The following is an 18,824-nucleotide window of genomic DNA, read 5'->3' as shown; positions in this document are numbered from 1 at the left end:
GGGATTACAGGCATGTGCCATCATGCCTGGCTAATTTTTTGTATTTTTAGTATGGATGGGGTTTTAACATGTTAGCCAGGATGGTCTTGATCTCCTGACCTCGTGATCTGCCTGCCTTGGCCTTTCAAAGTGCTGGGATGACAGGCGTGAGCCACCACGCCCGGCCGAGAATTTGGAGTTTTTAAGGATCATTTGGTGGGTAAGGGACAGTGAGTAAGGAGTGCTGATTGGTTGGGTTGGAGATTAAACTCATAGGAAGTTGAAGCTGTCCTCTTTTGCTGAATCAGTTCCCGGTGGAGGCCACGAGATCAGATGAGCCAGTTTATCCATCTGGGTGGTGCCAGCTGATCTATCAAGTGCAGGGTCTGCAAAATATCTCCAGCACTGATCTTAGGTTTTGCAATAGTGATGTTGTCTCTAGGAGCAATTTGGGTAGGGTCAAAATTTTGTAGCCTCCAGCTACCTGACTCCTAAACCATAATTTCTAATCTTGTGGCTAATTTGTTAGTCCTACAAAGGCAGTGTCCCCAGGCAGAAAGGGGGTTTATTTTGGAAAAGTGCTGTTACTGTCTTTATTTCAAAGTTAAACTATAAACTAAGTTTCTCCCAAAGTTAGTTTGGCCTATGCCCTGGAATGTACAAGGACAGCTTGGAGTTTAGAAGCAATATGGAACTGATTAGGTCAGATCTCCTTCACTGTAATCATATTCTTAGTTATAGTTTTGCAATGGTGATTTCAATCCCTCTCTTTGAGGTTTATAAGACCTTATTCGTAAGGTGTGTCTAGGAAGATGGGAAAAGGTCGAAAACTGCACTGGTTTCTTCCAGGGGGCATAGTGAGAATAGGAGTTGACCCCAAGGTGAGAGGAGTGGAACCGCTTTGCAGCTGTCTGAGCATAGGGACTGGGTTGGGGTTCCAAGGCTTACCTGACAAGGCTTCAGTATTCTCATCTACAGTTTTAGTGAGTAGCATACTATAAGGTAAATGAGTCCTAGGATAAGAAATGCAAATCCTAGTTTTAGAAGTAAAGATTTGAAAGCATTAGTTTGGGGACTTGTAGCCAACAAAGAATTTAGGATTTAGTCCAAATTGCAGAGAATAATAAAAACTTGAGAACAACTAACAATAGGTGTACTGTAGTTTTCTGAAACGTAATTTTTCTCTTTCCAGTCCCCATTTTTATTAAAGCAAAACAAGTTTTAGTCGTATTATGCATGGCCTGATTGTTTGTATAAAGTGCAGCAAGAATAATTATTTACCATATAGGCTCCTTTTAAAATTGGCTTTGCTGAGGCTAGACAAGGTGGTCCATGCCTATAATCCCAGCACTTTCGGAGGCTGAGGCGGGTGGATCACGAGGTCAGGAGATCGAGACCATCCTGGCTAACATGGTGAAACCCCGTCTCTACTAAAAATACAAAAATTAGCTGGGCATGGTGGCAGGCACCTGTAATCCCAGCTACTCAGGAGGCTGGGGCAGGAGGATCGCTTGAACCAGGGAGTTGGAGGTTGCAGTGAGCTGAGATTGAGCCACTGTACTCCAGCCTGGTGACAGAGCGAGAATCTGTCATAAAATAAAATAAAATAAAATAAAATAAAATAAAATAAAATAAAATAAAATAAAAATTGGCTTTGCTGAAACTTTGTTCCATAAGGAATCTCAGATTATACTTTTTAAAGCCTTGGAGCCCATCCACAGATTTATCTACGGCTGCAAATATACCTGTATGAGTTGGGTGAATTTTCCTCCTCTCCAGGTCCCAAGATAACTTGGGATCCCTGGACTTTCAGAAGGTGACATTCTTTACTCACCACAGGTCAGGAAACCTGTACAGAGACTGTGTAGACAAAGTATGAGGCCAGCTTTCCTGCAGGGCTTTTATTGGCTCTATAAGTCAACTTCGATTCCTTAAAGCAGTCTGTTTATATTTGAAAGCACGACATTTCAAAACCTTGGTAAAATAACCATCATATCCAATTGTGTCCCTTTTTGTCAGCATATAAGGTTTCCAGGTTTCTTTTCTCTGCAGCTTCCAGAAGAATGGACAGTCAGACTGAGTCAGGCCTGTTGAGCTTCCACTAACAATTCCTCCAGGTTTCAGCAAATGTGACCGACCAGACAAACTGGAAGAGCCTGTTGGACTTTCATCAGCAATTTCTTCAGAGATCTCCTCTACACATGCAAATACACACAACAAAAAAGTCAAGCAGAAGTCCTTCCAGACAGAGATTCCAGATTAAATCACAAACCAAGACTATTCCTCCAAATAAGTCCCCTATTCTCCATCCAATTAGAGCAGACACCCCACGATGGGGCTATAGACAGGCACCCCATGATGGGGTTACAGATAGCAACCCTTTCATTGAGGCCAACAAATCAGGAGAAGGAAGGGGCTGTTAGCAACACCTAGAATACTCATCTAATCAGACGCCCTGTGATGGGGCTACAGACACCCCATGTTGGAGCTACAGACAGACACCCTGTGATGAGGCTACAGTTATGGGATGTCTCCCCAGGATTATTTCTCTATCACAATTAAATCCATGCACAATGGGTCAGTAATGCCATGCCAATACAGACTGTGCCAGAGTCAAAGAGAACTAGATGTCTGCTTGGGCTGGCCTCTGGATCAATCAATCACCAGTAGGGGGCTATCAAACTGTGGGTGGGTAGAAACAAGGGCAATCCTGGATGAGCCCCCAGATTTGTAACTGCCCAACAGGTTCTCCTTGCCCACTGCCTAGATACAGCTGATTTATCAAGACAGGGGAACTGCAATAGAGAAAGAGTAGTTCATGCAGAGCCAGCTGTACAGGAGACCAGAGTTTTATTGTTACTCAAATCAGTCTCCCCAGTACTATTTCTCTATTGCAATTAAATCCATGTGTATTGGGTCGGCAGCATCCCATTAGTAGAGACAGTACCAGAGTCAGCCCTGAATCCAGAACTAAGTGGCCATTTGGGCTGGCCTGTGGATCCATTGCTGGAGTTGGGTACTGAGCCACAGGCAGGTAGCCACAAGGGTGATCCTGGACAAGCCCCAGATTTGTAACTGCCCAGTGGGTTTTTCTTGCCCACTGCCTGGATAGAGCTGATTTATCAAGACAGGGAATTGCAATAGAGAAAGAGTTTAATTCACACAGAGCCAGCTCTACCGAAGACTGGGGTTTTATTATCACTCAGATCAGTCTCCCTGAGAATTCAGGGATTGGAGTATTTAAGGATAATTTTGTGGGTAGGGGCCAGTGAGTTGGGAGTGCTGATTGCTCGGGTCAAAGATGAAATCACAGGGAGACAGTGCTGTCCTCTTGTGCTGAGTCAGTTCCTGGGTGGTGGCCACAAGATCAGATGAGCCAATTTATCCATCTGGGTGGTGCCAGCTGATCTATCAAGTGCAGGGTCTACAAAATATCTTGAGCACTGATCTTAGGTTTTATAATAATGATATTATCTCCAGGAGAAATTTGGGGAGGGTCAAAATCTTGTAGCCTCCAGCTGCATGACTCCTAAACCATAATATCTAATCTTGTGGCTATTTTGTTAGTCCCACAAAGGCAGTCTAGTCCCCAGGCAGGAAGGGGGTTTGTTTTGGGAAAGGGCTGTTATTGTTTTTGTTTCAAAGTTAAACTAGACACTTGAGGCTAGGAGTTCAAGACCAGTGTGGCCAGCATGGCGAAACCCTGTCTCTACTAAACACACAAAAATTAGCCAAGCATGCTGATGCACACCTGTGGTCCCAGCTGCTTGGGAGGCTGAGGCACAAGAATCGCTTGAACCCAGGATGTGAAGGTTGTGGTGAGCTGAGATCACACCACTGCACTCCAGCCTGGGTGACAGAGCAAGACTCTGTCTCAGAAAAAAGAAAAAAAAAGTTAAAACTATAAACTAAATTTCTCCCAAAGTCAGTTTGGCCTATGCCCGGGAATGGACAAGGACAACTTGGAGGTTAGAAGGAAGATGAAGTCAGTTAGGTCAGATTTTTTTCACTGTAATTATATTCTGTTATAATTTTGCAATGGCAGTTTCATGGTAGAGAAAGAGTTTCATATCTATAGATAAAGGTTACGTAATTATTTGTAAATTTTATCCATTTGTTATGCTGGTGGTGGTTGTTTTTTTCCTGCTCGTTTTTCTTCCATTGGAAACGTCGTATCTATCATTTCAAAGGGAAGGGACTCTAACATTTTACTGAGCACTTACTGTACAACAGGCATTAGACTAAATTTCTTATTTACTATTTAGAAGAGGAAACAGTTCAGAGCACTCTGAGCTATGTGAGGTATGCAAAATTTATCAGGCCCAGAGGGAATGAGTATGGGACTTCCGTTATCCCCCATTCCCACAGGCAATTGGCTAAAAGCATTTTGTTCCTGACTAGCTGCCTCATCCATTATCTTCATTTTCCTGGAATTTGAGATACAAAGAACAATGTGGCAGACAATCGATATCTTGTGTTATTTTAATGTAAATTCTTGGTAAGCAACTTAGGAACTGCCTCTTCTTTTTTCCTTTAAAAACCCACTTGTAACTGCTGCTAAGCAAAGCATATATTCAGGGCACCTTGGATCTATGCTCCTGGGTTGCAGTCCTCAAACTCAGCCCAAATCAACTCTCTACTTATATTAATTTTGCCTCAGTTTTTTCCTTTAGGTCGGCATGATTCAGAGTGACTTCCCACCATCACCTGGTGTTTCTCTCTGAAATAAGTGCTTGGTACCAGCATGAACCCATTGCATTCTCCATTTTTGGAGGTCCTACCACATGCTGGGGGTGACTTCTTTTGAATCTGAACCTTCCTTTCTTTTCAGTTGCAGTCTAGATTTTGAGCTGTTCTGCAAACCATCTCTTTCCTTTAAGAATGAGGGCTTTAGTTTCTCTCCCTGGATAGGAGATTCAAGTAAAAAGCTCTGCAGAGAGCTGCCTTCTTCTTGTTCCTCACAGTTCTTCGGCCTCAAAGCAGAAGGTTCAGTTCACAGTTGGGCAAGAAGTTATGCAGAGGACTTCTGCCTTCTCTGCCTCTACCTCATGACAAAAAGTTCAAGTTATAGATCATTTGGTTACTCTAGCACCGGTGGTTTCACCACTTCTGGCCTAGAATTCTATAGCATGCTTTTAAAACTGCAGCTGCTTTGTTACTTATAATTTGGACTTGTATTTTCATTTGTGACCAATTTCTGTTGATTCCAAACCAAAGCATGCATATGGGTAATTTATGCTCATAAGCAGCACACTTTGACCCAAAATATATTTCTGGCCTTGATCACTTTTGAAAAGTTCCTAAATTATAGGAAATCAAGCTTCAAAATCTGAGCACTCTTTAAAGGGACAGCTACCTTTAGAAACACTAGCTCGTTTTAGGTACAATGCTTATGGGGCATCCTCTTGTAAATATCTAAGAAAATTGACCCACATAACCTGGAATGGTCATAAGCATCAATGGCTGAAATGGGGGGGATCCTTTGAAATGCGTAAAATAATTCATTTGTGTCCACAGTTGGAAAAAGCTGAACTAGACAAACTGAATGAAAGACATACTTTTTTTTTTTTTGAGACAAAGTCTTGCTCTGTTGCCCTGGCTGTGCAGTGGTGCGTTCTCAGCTCACTGCAACCTCCGCCTCCTGGATTCAAGAAATTCTCCTGCCTCAGCCTCCCAAGTAGCTGTGACTACAGGCACGCGCCACCACGCCTGGCTAATTTTTGTATTTTTAGTAGAGACAGGGTTTCACCATATTGGCCAGGCTGGTCTCAAACACCTGACCTCGTGATCCACCTGCCTTGGCCTCCCAAAGTGTTGGGATTACAGGCGTGAGCCACCGTGTCTGGCCTGAAAGACATACTTATTGTTTGTCATGGTTGAAATTTGATAAGAAAAGACTTGAAAATATTTTTTAAAGAGTTCTAACAGCTAGAAGTTAGCTTAATTAAAAACTGATATTCAGACTACAACTTACTTTGTGAAAAATAAAGAAGGTCTTTTTGCTTTTCCTCTTTTGTTTTCTGTTTCTGGGTTTTTTTTTTGTTGTTGTTAATATACTAAAAACCTTATTTTAAAAAATGGTTGGTTCCCTCTGTTTCCTATTTTGTTGGCATGATTTTTGCTGAGAAAAAACTGTAAAACTTCACTGGCCTTTTAGATAGCTTAAAATCTCCCTCAAGCCAGGTGCAGTGGCTCACGCCTGTAATCCTAGCACTTTGGGAGGCTGAGGTGGGCAGATCACCTGAGGTCAGGAGTTCAAGACCAGCCTGACCAATATGATGAAACCCTGTCTCTACTAAAAATACAAAAATTACCTGGTTATGGTGGCACATGCCCGTAATCCCAGATACTTGGGAGGCTGAGGCAGGAGAATCACTTGGACCCAGGAGGCAGAGGTTGCAGTGGGCTGAGATCGTGCCATTGCACTCCAGCCAGGGTGACAGAACAAGACTCCGACTCAAAAAAAAAAAAATCTCCCTCAGTTGGGTCCTCCAGGACTTGTTCTTTCACTCACTTCCACTTCTGCTACTCCTTCCTTTTGCCATCTTCAATACCATGTATGAGACCTAATAGCCCTGAGACCGCTCAAGGAACACACAAAAATATGCCACCCTCTCCCCTTTTGGGAGGTCCTCTGTCTCTCATGGAGTCTCAAAAGTCATACGCAGGTTTCTCACAGGTCTACAGCTTTGCTTTCTTCTGCATTGAGTATTCTGATCTCTTTGGCTTTGGGAATGCCAAGGGTTACTTTATACTGTGAGGGAGAACTTGATCTTTGTTTGTGTAATAGCTGGCAAGTCACTGGTGAAACCTGCAGAAGTGGCTGACAGCAGCTGCAGTGAATGGTAATTACTGCAGGGAGCTACTTGTTTATTTGCACATTTAGATAAAAGACATATTATTTGAACACTTGGAATCTGTGGAAACACTCACCACCAAGGCATAAGGCTCCTATGGAGGACGAGCTGACCACGTACTGAGCTGAGTGTTGAGTTGCCCACCAGCCTTAGGGGAATGTCTTTGTAGCGAGGAGCACTGCGGAAATGTTGCACGGCCTAGTCTTGTGGCATTTCCCTTTTGGAAGAAACCAGGGATTCAAAGTAAATGTGGAATCCTTGATTTCTGGAGATCTAGATGCTCTGCCTTCCAGCTGTGCCTGCTTTTCACATATTTAAATATTAGGCCCTAAAAACAATAAATGTTTTATTTGCCCTATTCATTAAAGGGCTCCACCCTAAAGTCAGTAATTTAATTAAGAAACATGAAGTTGAAAAGACTACCCATCAAACTAAATCAGTCTCCAAAATGCAACTTTCTGACATTTAGCTAGTTATTTTGAAACTTTTTGTAAAAGATATTTAGGAGTGCAAAAGGCTTATGGAAAAAAAAAGAAATAATAAATAAAAGATAATTACATCTATAAAGGAAATGTCCATTTGTAAGAACATCTCCCTCTCTGCACCTAAACTACATTGGTTTAAAGTTTATGTAATAAGCCTTACCTTTGTTTAAGATGATTTTTCAGCCAGGCATGGTGGCTCACACCTGTAATCCCTGCACTTTGGGAGGCTGAGGTGGGAGGATCACCTGAGGTGGGGAGTTTGAGACCAGCCTGACCAAAGTGGAGAAACCCCGTCTCTACTAAAAATACAAAATAAGCCCAGCATGGTGGCGCATGCCTGTAATCCCAGCTACCCGGGAGGCTGAGGCAGGAGAATCGCTTGAATCCGGGAGGCGGAGGTTGTGGTGAGCCGAGATGGCACCATTGCACTCCAGCCTGGGCAACAAGAGGGAAACTCAGTCTCAAAAAAAAAAAGAAAGATCTGTACGTATATACGTTTATATTACGCGTATGGGATATTTCACTACCAAAATATACAAAAGAGCTCCAATTAATTGGATCTAAAAAAAAAAGTAAGCACTTGGCCGGGCATGGTGGCTCACGCCTGTAATCTCAGCACTTCGGAAGGTCGAGGCGGGCGGATCACGAGGTCAGGAGATTGAGACCAGCTTGGCCAATATGGTGAAACCCCATCTCTACTAAAAATACATAAAAAATTAGCCAGGCATGGTGATGCACGCCTGAATCCCAGCTACTCAGGAGGCTGAGGCAGAAGAATCTCTGGAACCCGGGAGGCGGAGATTGCAGCGAGCCGAGATCGTGCCACTGCACTCCAGCCTGGGTGACAGAGGGAGACTCCGTCTCAAAAAAAAAAAAAAAAAAAAAAAGTAAGCACTTAAATACTTTATCAGAAAAATAGAAACTAACTAAAATGTTCAGTTCATATGACTTGAGTAAATCTTTAGTAAAGAAGAACCACTTTAATATTATTGGTTTAATGAAAACAGCTATGTCTTCGGATCAGCAAAATACCCATGTATTTACCTTTAGGGTTTTTGCTTAGGTGGCAGCTGCCTAACATTTGCAGGCTGTAAAAATGATTAACACGGAAATAACATGAGATGATGGCTAGCTTTGTTTAATGAACAATTCAAGCATAATTGTTAAAAGTGAGTAAGTTAAATGAATAGAAACAAAAGTTTATCAGTGTACTCATTTGTATAGTGGTGAGTTTTTGAAAAATTTATAAATGAACTTTTCAAAAATCTTTTTCAGTAACTTGACTTTTTTTTTTTTTTAAGGTGGAATCTTGCTCTGTCACCCAGGCTGGAGTGCAGTGGAGCGATCTTAGCTCACTGCAACCTCTGCCTCCCAGGTTCAAGAGATTCTCCCGCCTCAGCCTCCCAAGTAGCTGGGATTACATTACAGGTATGCACCACCACACCTGGCTAATTTTTGTACTTTTAGTAGAGACGGGGTTTCACCATGTTAGCCAGGCTGGTCTTGATCCCCTGACCTCAAGTGATCCACCCACCTCAGCCTCTCAAAGTGCCGGGATTACAGGCATGAGCCACTGTGCCCAGCTTCAGTAAATTAATATTAAAGTCATGTTATAATTAAGTAGTAGATGTTCATGAAATGTCTGAGTCATCTCTAAGTAAAAATACTAAAACATTAATCATTAAATATAAGTTTAAATCTATATACTTTGATATCTTATTTTTATATGGTATAGAAAAGCTAAATATATTTAGACCTGTTAATAAACAAAAATAAATTGAGATATCTTTCTAAAAATTATAAAATGGTTTTCATCCATCTATCAGTAATGATATAAAACAGTTCAAAATTACTTCCTAAGTTTTCCACCAGAAATTCAGTTTGCTAAAAGTTAAAAATAGTAGTTCATATATGCAATTGAAACTACTAGATGTAAGAGAAACAATTCTGTATACAGAGTGAGTAAGAAAAATAGGATGTGTTTTTGGTAAAGAAGGTTATAAAGAAGATATGAAAGTGAGGTTTCTGTTAAGGGAAAACTAATTTTGTCTAGAGGCTTTTAAAGGGTGTTTTAAGTTGAAAGGACAAAAGAAAGAATGATGGATAAAACTACATGAACACAGAAACTTAAAGAAAGAGAAAGTGAAAAATTCTAAGTAAGTGGTTATGAGAAGTTTATAGAAATCTTATCTTGGTTTTTTTATTTAAAAAAATTATTTTGGTGGAGATGAGGTCTCACTATGTTGCCCAGGTTGCTCTCGAACTCCTGGGGTCAAGCAATCCTCCCACAGCAGTCTCCCAAAGTGCTGGGATTACAGGCATTAGCCACTATGCTCAGCCAGAAATACTATTTTGTGTGGTCAAAGATGATTGAGATTGGATGGATTAGCATTTCCATTGTGCAAATCACTCAGTCTTCCAGACTGGTAGAATGAATACACGGAATAGTGAAAAGTCAGTTGAAAGCTTAAAGAAAAATTTAACTTTCCCTGGCCTAAGGATCTTCCATTTGCTTAACTTACATTCTACCCTGTTTGGAAAACATCAGCTTTCTGCCTTTGAAATGGGAATGGGACTACCCGTGCACCTGGATAAAGGAGCCTATGAACTAGCTCTCCTTAAAAGTTGTAAACTAGGCCAGACATGGTGGCTTACGCCTGTAATCTCAGCACTTTGGGAGGCCGAGCGGGTGGATCATGAGGTCAGGAGTTCGAAACGAGCCTGGCCAACATGGTGAAACCCTGTCTCTACTAAAAGTACAAAATTTAGGTGTGGTGGAATGCAACTGCAATCCCAGCTCCTTGGGAGGCTGAGGCAGGAGAATTGCTTGAACCCGGGAGGAGGAGGAGGTTGCAGTGAGCCAAAATCGTGCCACTGCACTCCATTCTGGGAGACAGAGCAAGACTCCATCTCAAAAAAAAAAAAAAAGAGTTGGGCCAGGCACGGTGGCTCACGCCTGTAATCTTATCACTTTGGGAGGCTGAGGTGGGTGGATCATGAGGTCAAGCATTCAAGACCAGCCTGGTCAAGAAGATGAAACCCTGTCTCTACTAAAAATACAAAAATTAGCTGGGCATGGTGGCAGGCACCTGTAATCCCTGCTACTTGGGAGGCTGAGGCAGAGAATTGCCTGAACCTGGGAGGCGGAGGTTGCAGTGACCCGAGATCGCACCACTGCACTCCGACAGGGCGAGACTCCATCTCAAAAACAAAACAAAACAAACAAAAAAAACAGTTGTAAACTAAAAATCCAAAGTCCCTTACCAACTGAATGGACCCCCTCTTGTCCAAGGGGACCCCAGAGAAACCTTAACAACTGAACTCCCAAGGGCTGGGCGTGGTGGCTCACGCCTGCAATCCCAGCACTTTGGGAGGTCAAGGCAGGCGGATCACAAGGTCAGGAGATCAAGACCATCCCCGTCTCTGCTAAAAATACAAAAAAATTAGCCGGGCGTGGTGGCAGGCGCCTGTAGTCCCAGCTACTCAGGAGGCTGAGGCAGGAGAATAGCATCAACCTGGGAGGCGGAGCTTGCAGTGAGCTGAGATCACGCCACTGCACTCCAGCCTGGGCGACAGAGTGAGACTCGGTCAGAAAAAAAAAAAAAAATGAACTCCCAGTCAAAACAGGAAGAGAGGTCAAGCACGCCTCATTATATTCCCTCCCTTTTGGAGTTTAGGCACAACAATTGACCAGCATTAATGTTAAAATAGAGATTATAAGACTGAAAAAACAGACTCTTTGTGGCAATAAGATATCAAATTATAAACAAGACCTAAGACTATGGAAGGAAAGGGTTAAGTCATGTCTGCAAGCCATCCATCTTGCTACATAGCATGCTTAACTTAAAACGTGCCTTTCTGGCCGAGTGTGGTGGCTCACACCTGTAATCCTAGCCCTTTGGGAGGTTGAGGTGGGCAGATCACCTGAGGTCAGGAGTTCGAGACCAGCCTGACCAACATGGTGAAACCCCATCTCTACTTAAAAGACAAAATTAGCAGGGCGTGGTGGTGCATGCCTGTAATCCCAGCTACTCGGGAGGCTGAGGCAGGAGAATCACTTGAACCCACGAGGCAGAGGTTGCAGTGAGCCAAGATTGTGCCATTGCACTCCAGCCTGGGTGAGAGAGCAAAAATCTGTCTCAAAAAAAAAAAATCCCTTTGTGTTGACTTCAAGTTTTAGACAGAGCCCTACTCTTTTGGTCAACTGCAAATTAAAGAATCTCTGAATCCACCCTTAACCTGTAAGCCCCTGCTTTAGATATCCCACCTTTTCTTTTCTTTTCTTTTTTTTTTTTTTTTGAGATGGAGTCTCGCTCTGTTGCCAGGATGGAGCACAGTGACATGATCTTGGCTCACTGCAAACTCTGCCTGCCGAGTTCAAGCGATTCTCATGCCTCAGCCTCCCGAGTAGCGGGGACAACAGGCGTGAGCCACCACACCCAGCTAATTTTTGCATTTTTAGTAGAGATGGGGTTTCACCATGTTGGCCAGGATGGTCTCCATCTCCTGACCTCGTGATCCTCCTGCCTCAGCCTCCCAAAGTGCTGGGACTACAGGCGTGAGCCACTGCACTGGCCTAGATATCCCACCTTTTCATACAGAACCATGTATACCTTCCATGTATTGATTTATGTCTTCACCTATAACTCCTGCCTCCCTGAAATACATAAAACCAAACAGTAATCCAGGCTTTGGTACAAGTTCTCAGGATTCCTGAGGTTGTGTTTTCCTGGGCCATGTTCACTCATGTTAGCTCAGAATAAAACTCTTGAAAATATTTTACAGAGCTTGGTTTTTCCATTAACAAGGTGGTATTCTTCATTATTGCAAGGCCTGATAAGTTTCTCACTGAAAATTCTAAATTAATTAAGGATTATTTTAACAGCAAGCTCCCAGCGGGAGACAAAAACATCAAAGATCATGGACTCCAACCTGAAGATTTTGTTTAATGGAAAATGCCAAAAGAAAGAAAGAAAGAGAGAGAGAGAGAAAGAAAGAAAGAGAAAGGAAGGAAGGAAGGAAGAAGGGAGGGAGGGAAGGAAGGAAGGAAGGAAGGAAGGAAAGAAGGAAGAAAAGAAAATGCTATCAAATAAAGGACTTGTTCCAACAACTACATTAGAAGGGACACTATTAGGCAGCCCTGCCTGAGTGGACATCTTCCTCAGTGGAGATCTCCAATACTTTGTTCTTTAGACCAGGACAAGAAATAGGTTACAATATTCATTTGGTTATCTTCAGGAATAGGAATACTTTTCATATTTGTATTTCAAGATGTTTTGTTGATAACTGTCCTTATTTGTGTCATATTTTAAATGCCTGAATTAATTATGCTTTGTATTTCTAGATGTCTAAAGTTTACCACAAAAGTTTATAACAAAAAAACTAATCATGATAGCTAGATGCTTAGAAATGAGCTAACATGCCTCAACTCCAGTGTAAGTAAACGGCCCGACTAAGATCCTATTACTCTGACCCTTTATTGTTCAATTCAGTCCCTGAATTGTTGCCAACTGATTCAGCCTTGGAACTTCTTAAGCCGTAGTACTTCTGCTCTTTCCCTCTGACATGGGACAAGATTATCTGGGAATGAGTCTTCCCAGCAACATGGGACAAACTTAAATCTAAAATATTGATCATTAGTGCTTTCAGAAGAGAACCATTCTGATCAAAAGGAGGAAATGAGAAAAATAGCTCAGAGCAGCCTAAGATATGTGAAGTATGCAAAATTCATCAGGCCTGGAGAGACAGGAGTATGGGATTTCGGTCACATCTCACAGCACCCATTCCCAGGGGCAATTCTTTTTTTTTTTTTTGAGATGGTATCTTGCTCTGTCCCCAGGCTGGAGTGCAGTGGCGCAGTCTCAGCTCACTGCAACCTCCACTCCTGGGTTCAAGCGATTCTCTTGCCTCAGCCTCCCAAGTAGCTGGGATTACAGGTGTGCAGCACCACGCCGGGTTAATTTTTGTATTTTTAGTAGCCAGGGGCAATTATTTAAAAGCATTTTATTTCTGACAGCTGCCTTACCCGCTATCTTCATGTTCCTGGAATTTGTGATACAAAGAACAATGTATAGCCAACCAATAGCTTGTTATTGTAACATAAATTCTTGATAAACAACTTAGGAACTGCCTCTTCTTTTTCCTTTAAAAACCCATTTGTGGCCAGGTGCGGTGGCTCACACCTGTAATCCCAGCACTTTGGGAAGCTGAGGTGGGTGGATCACCTGAGGCCAGGAGTTCGAGACCAGCCTGGGCAACATAGTGAAACCCTGTCTCTACTAAAAATACAAAAATTAGCCAGGCACACACCTGTAATCCCAGCTACTTGGGAAGCTGAGGCACAAGCATCGCTTGAACCCGGGAGGCGGAGGCTGCAGTGTGCCGATATCATGCCACTGCACTCCAGCCCGGATGACAAGACAACAGCGAAACTCTGTCTCAAAAAAAAAAAAAAAAAAAAAGAAAGAAAGAAAAACCATTAGTAACTACTGCTAATAGGAGCATATATTCAGAGCAACTTGAATCTATGCTCCTGGGTTGCAGTCCTCAAACTAGGGCCAAATAAACTTTCTACTTATATTAATTTTGCCTCAGTTTTTTCCTTTAGGGTCACACTATTTACTCATTTCATGTGATTTTATTCACAACCAAGAGTATATATCTCTTCCCTTTCCAAAAATAAAATGACTGAGGCCAAAAATATCAAATGCAGCAAGAAAAATAAAATGTTCTGGTGATTTCCACATTATGAAACATGCAAAAATCTTGTATGATATATATGATTTTATTAGTTAAAATTAGGCAATGGGTCATCCCTGGCATGTGTGTAATGGGAAGTAGAAAATAATTCCCCAAAATATGGCACTTTGGCATGCTGAGTGCTTTTAAAAATTAAAAGACCTGGCCAGGCACGGCAGCTCATGCCTGTAATCCCAGCATTTTGGGAGGCCGAGGAGGGCGGATCACCTGAAGTCAGGAGTTTGAGAGCAGCCTGGCCAACATGGCGAAACCCCGTCTCTACTAAAAATACAAAAATTAGCCGGGTGAGGTAGCGCCTGCCTGTAATCCCAGCTACTCAGGAGGCTGAGGCAGTAGAATCACCTGAACCCAGGAGGTGGAGGTTGCAGTGAGCCGAGATCATGCTGCTGCACTCCATCCAGCCTGGGTGAGAGAGAGAGATTTCATCTCAAAAAAAAAAAAAAAGAAAAAAAAGAAAGAAAAGAAAAGAAAAAGGCCTTGGAAATAAGGCTCAGAATCAAAGTCCTCCTAATCTTGTCTTGTTTTTTTCCCACTCCAAGGTCAGGGAGGAACTCTGAAATTTCCTAACCTGACCAAGAAAGCATCTTACCAAAGAAACAATTGCCTTTTACTCCTTTCTAAAGTCTTATCTACTTTGAAAAAGAAGACTGAGGTATGCAACCACACCAGGATGGACTTTTTTTTGAGACAGAGTCTCGCTCTGTCACCCAGGCAGGAGTACAGTGGCACACTCTCGGCTCACTGCAACCTCCGACTCCCAGGTTCAAGCAATTCTCCTGCCTCAGCCTCCCAAGTTGCTGGGATTACAGGTGCCTGCCACCATGCCTGGCTAATTTTTGGAATTTTTAGTACAGATGGGGTTTCACCATGTTGGCCAGGCTGGTCTCGAACTCCTCACCTTAGGTGATCCACCCACCTTGGCCTCCCAAAGTGCTGAGATTACAGGCGTGAGCCACCTCGCCTGGACTTTTTCTTTTTTCTTTTTTCTTTTTTTTTAGAAGCTAATGCCTGCCTCTCAGCCTCCTTCAAATTCCAAAGAAAATAATTTACAAGTTAATTTCAGTCTCCTGGGTCCGTTTATTCTTCCTAATAATCATTTACTGCCCTTCAAAAAAATTGTCTACACTTTCCATTTCCTTCTTCCCCTATCAAGAACAGGCATAGGCTGGGTGCGGTGGCTCACACCTGTAATCCCAGAACTTTGGGAGGCCGAGGTGGGTGGATCATGAGGTCAGGAGATCGAGACCATCCTGGATAACAGGTGAATCCCTGTCTCTACTGAAAATACAAAAAATTAGCTGGGCATTGTGGCACATGCCTGTAGTGCCAGCTACTCAGGAGGCTGGGGCAGGAGAATCGCTTGAACACGGGAGGCAGAGGTTGCAGTGAGCCGAGATAGCGCCACTGCACTCCAGCCTGGGTGACAGAGCAAGACTCTGTCTCAAAGGAAAAAAAAAAGAAAAAAGAACAGGCATGTAAGCTTCTGTACCCCACTGGGAATTTGGGATAATCACTGTGATTTTTCCCCCATGCATGTTAATAAATTTGTATGCCTTTTTTGAGGTGGAGTCTTGTTCTGTTGCCCAGGCTAGAGTGCAGTGGCAGGATCTCGGATCACTGCAACCTCCACCTCCCAGGTTTAGGTGATTCTCCTGCCTCAGCCTCCTGAGAAGCTGAGATTACAGTGCCACTACACCTGGCTAACTTTTGTATTTTTAGTAGAGACAAGATTTCACCATGTTGGTCGGACCAGTCTCAAACTCCTGACCTAAAGTGATCCACCTGCCTCAGCCTCCTAAAGTGCCGGGATTACAGGTGTGAGCCACTGCACCTGGCTGCCTTTTCTCGTTTAATCTGCCTTTTCTCAGTTAATTTTCGTGAACCTTCAGACGGCAAAAGTGAGTTTTTCCTGACCCCTGCATGTGATACCAGTAACATGCCAGTCTTCTACATAAACTCCTCTCCCATCTCTATTTCTCTTTTCCTTCTCTTGTTCTTCTGTTCCTCTTTACTTGCTTTTCTTTCACTTACTCTCACTTGTCACTTTCTGCTTTTTCATTTTTCTCTCTGCCTACCTCTTAAACTCATCAATAGCTGCATTGTTGTCGTTTAGTCCAAAAGGATTACTGACCCCTTGTCTAAACTGAAACAAAAGCAAGCAAAAAGAAAAGTTTCTTTCAGCTCCACTGGGCTAGAACTGCAAGGTATAATGATGTTACAGTATAGTATATGACCCTGAGAGATAAAATAATATGTACACTAACCAGGCGTTTGGCTTCTGGTATGCAAAAGAAAATGCCCACTGAGCTCTTTGTGAGGGTCTCGATTATGACTGATAATTCTGAAGTTCTCATGTTTCCACTTTGAAATAAAAATGACTTGTAACCAGAAGCAATTAGCTGTGACAGACTGCCACTGCTACTACTTGAGACCCTCACTACCACATTTACTACTGTTACTATTACCACTTGAGACCATCCTTACAGGACGGAAGGAAGGGGGACAAACATAGAAATGAAAACTTAAGACAAAAGAAACTGTTTTAAAGGGGTCCGGGGAAGAAGAAGAGGGCTCCCTGCTTCTAGTGAATAAAGGCAGCAGCCCTAAGCATTTAGAGCCCTTTGTATTTGTTGGATAGAAAGAGCAGGGAGGAGGAGGTAAAGATTGGTCAGCTGCTTAATTGATCACAGGTTCACATTATTGCTAACAGGCTTCAGATGTGCCTAATCACAAGCAACACTGCACTTGGGGCATGACGGCCCTCAGCATTCGTTCTAGGCGGCAGACGCAGTTTGTCAGTTTGCCAACATTCTGCATTTATGAGAACAGTTTGCTGTTTACTCATATAGCTTCCAGTGGTATACTGAGTTGATCACAACCCTCACTCTTTCGGCCTGCAACAATTAGCATTTTATCCGCATGTGAGAAGTTAAGAGGTAAGTTTACCTGCGACTAGAAAAAGGAGAATGGAGGCAGACCAAAGAAGCTCTCCTTTAAAGGGCAAAGATTTAGGATGTGTGGCTGGGCGTGGTGGTTCACACCTGTAATCCCAACACTTTGGGAGGCTGAGACAGGTGGATCACCAGAGGTCAGGAGTTCAAGACCAGCCTGGCCAACATGGTGAAACCCTGTCTCAACCAAAAATACAAAAATTAGCTGGGTGTGGTGTTGCAGGCCTGTAGTCCTAGTTACTCAGGAGGCTGAGACAGGAGAATCGCTTGAACCCAGGAGGCGGAGGTTGCAGTGAGCCAAGATCGAGCCACTGCACTCTAGCTTGGGCGACAGAGCGAGATTCCGTCTCAAAAAAAAAAAAAAAAAAAGGATTTAGGGTGTGGAAATATAAAAGTAGCATCCTATGGAAAATTCAAGATGAGACTGGTGGTCCTGAAATTCCACCATTCATTAGGAGATTGCAGAGGCTGCTTTGGAAACCAAAACTAGATTATTAATCTAAGGAGCCTTTATACTCTGTTTAAATCAAAGCTGGCCTAACAGCTACCCTCTCCCTGCTCCACCCCTTTTGATGTTTTCTGATTCTCCATGATCTCCACTTTCAGGCAAATGAGAAGAAACCATTTCAGTTTCTTCTTCATTTCAATTTAAAGAAAAAGGTATTCATTTCAGTTTAAAGAAAAAGGTATTCACTTCTTTGCAAAATATTTCAAGTGCTTTCGGAATTCCAGACTCAATATTTAAACAAACGAAATCTTGGAGATCAAGCAGATGCTATAAATCATAAAAATAGCTCCCTATTCCCCCCTCCCCGCCAAACAAACCAACATTAAAAGAAAATTGGTGTTGAAGAACAGAGCGGGTGGGTAGGTGGTTTATAGCTTGTGGGTTGATGATCTGATGACATTTTATCAGAGAACTTTGCTAACTGGCAAAAAGCAGTGAGTTGCTAAAGCTGAGAGGTTGTTATGAATACTTAAGGGTAAAGGTATTGTTCTCTGGAAACAGGAGCAGTGTTTGAAAGCTATAGCCCTATAACTTTCACTTTCCTTAGGGACAAATGGATTTACATCTCATGAGGAAGTCTCTTTCACTTGATAAAAGGGATTTAGGTTACTGCCAACACATCTTCTGCCCTCTTTTTTTTTTCTTTTATCTGCCTTCTCTTGAAGGGACTCCCACCACCTTGAGTTAATCACATACCTTGTTGGTTCATTAAGTCTTGACGTCATTTTGATACATATATTGTTACAATGATACATACAAAGCTACAATACCCAACCTCTGCTTACAGAATTTTTTAGGCTGCAGGTCTCTCTTGTAAACAGTGATGTTTACAAGTAATTGATCACAACCTATTACAGATTTCTTTGTTCCTTCTCCACTCCCCTGCTTCACTTGACTAGCCTAAAAAAGAAACAAATGAGTAAATAAAAGAATTGTAAGGCTCTATTTTGGAGATGATAAACTTTTTTTTTTTTTTTCTAATCTGAGTCCGCTTGCTAGGGAAAGATGAGAAACTTTGAATCATCTAATTGGCTCAGGAAATGAGTTCACTGGCCTATTGCAGAGTCATTGAAGGATAAAAAAGAAGAAAGAGAATTCCCCGGGGCTTAGATCTCAAGGGAACTTTTAGCTCTCCATTATAATTTTAGGAATACAATAGTCATGGCAGTTATATGGAAGTTTTGCAAATTGGCACTTCAAAAATGTAGCATAAGCAGGGCTCCTTTTTTGGCTAACTGCATGTAACTGGCTCATTGAATGGGCTGAACTCAGTCAGAGGCAAATG

General features: G+C 42.5%; 1 long non-coding RNA gene across 3 annotated transcripts in view; it reads right to left on the bottom strand.

Annotated features, from left to right (window-relative positions):
• Positions 1-1,865: 1,865 nt before the first annotated feature.
• Positions 1,866-18,824, bottom strand: part of LOC105379047 (uncharacterized) — a 31,751-nt gene continuing 14,792 nt past the window's right edge. For all 3 annotated transcript variants that reach the window (XR_948497.3, XR_948498.3, XR_948499.3), the window contains exons 2-3: positions 6,913-7,053; positions 1,866-2,174 (exon numbers count right to left, since the gene is read on the bottom strand). This is a non-coding gene — a long non-coding RNA (uncharacterized LOC105379047). The remainder of the gene's footprint in view (positions 2,175-6,912; positions 7,054-18,824) is intronic.

The sequence above is a fragment of the Homo sapiens genome, chromosome 5 (assembly GCF_000001405.40).
Source record: "Homo sapiens chromosome 5, GRCh38.p14 Primary Assembly".
In the NCBI taxonomy this organism is placed as follows: domain Eukaryota; kingdom Metazoa; phylum Chordata; class Mammalia; order Primates; family Hominidae; genus Homo; species Homo sapiens.
Note: the sequence above shows the minus strand (reverse complement) of the source record. Positions and strands in the feature narration are given on the sequence as shown.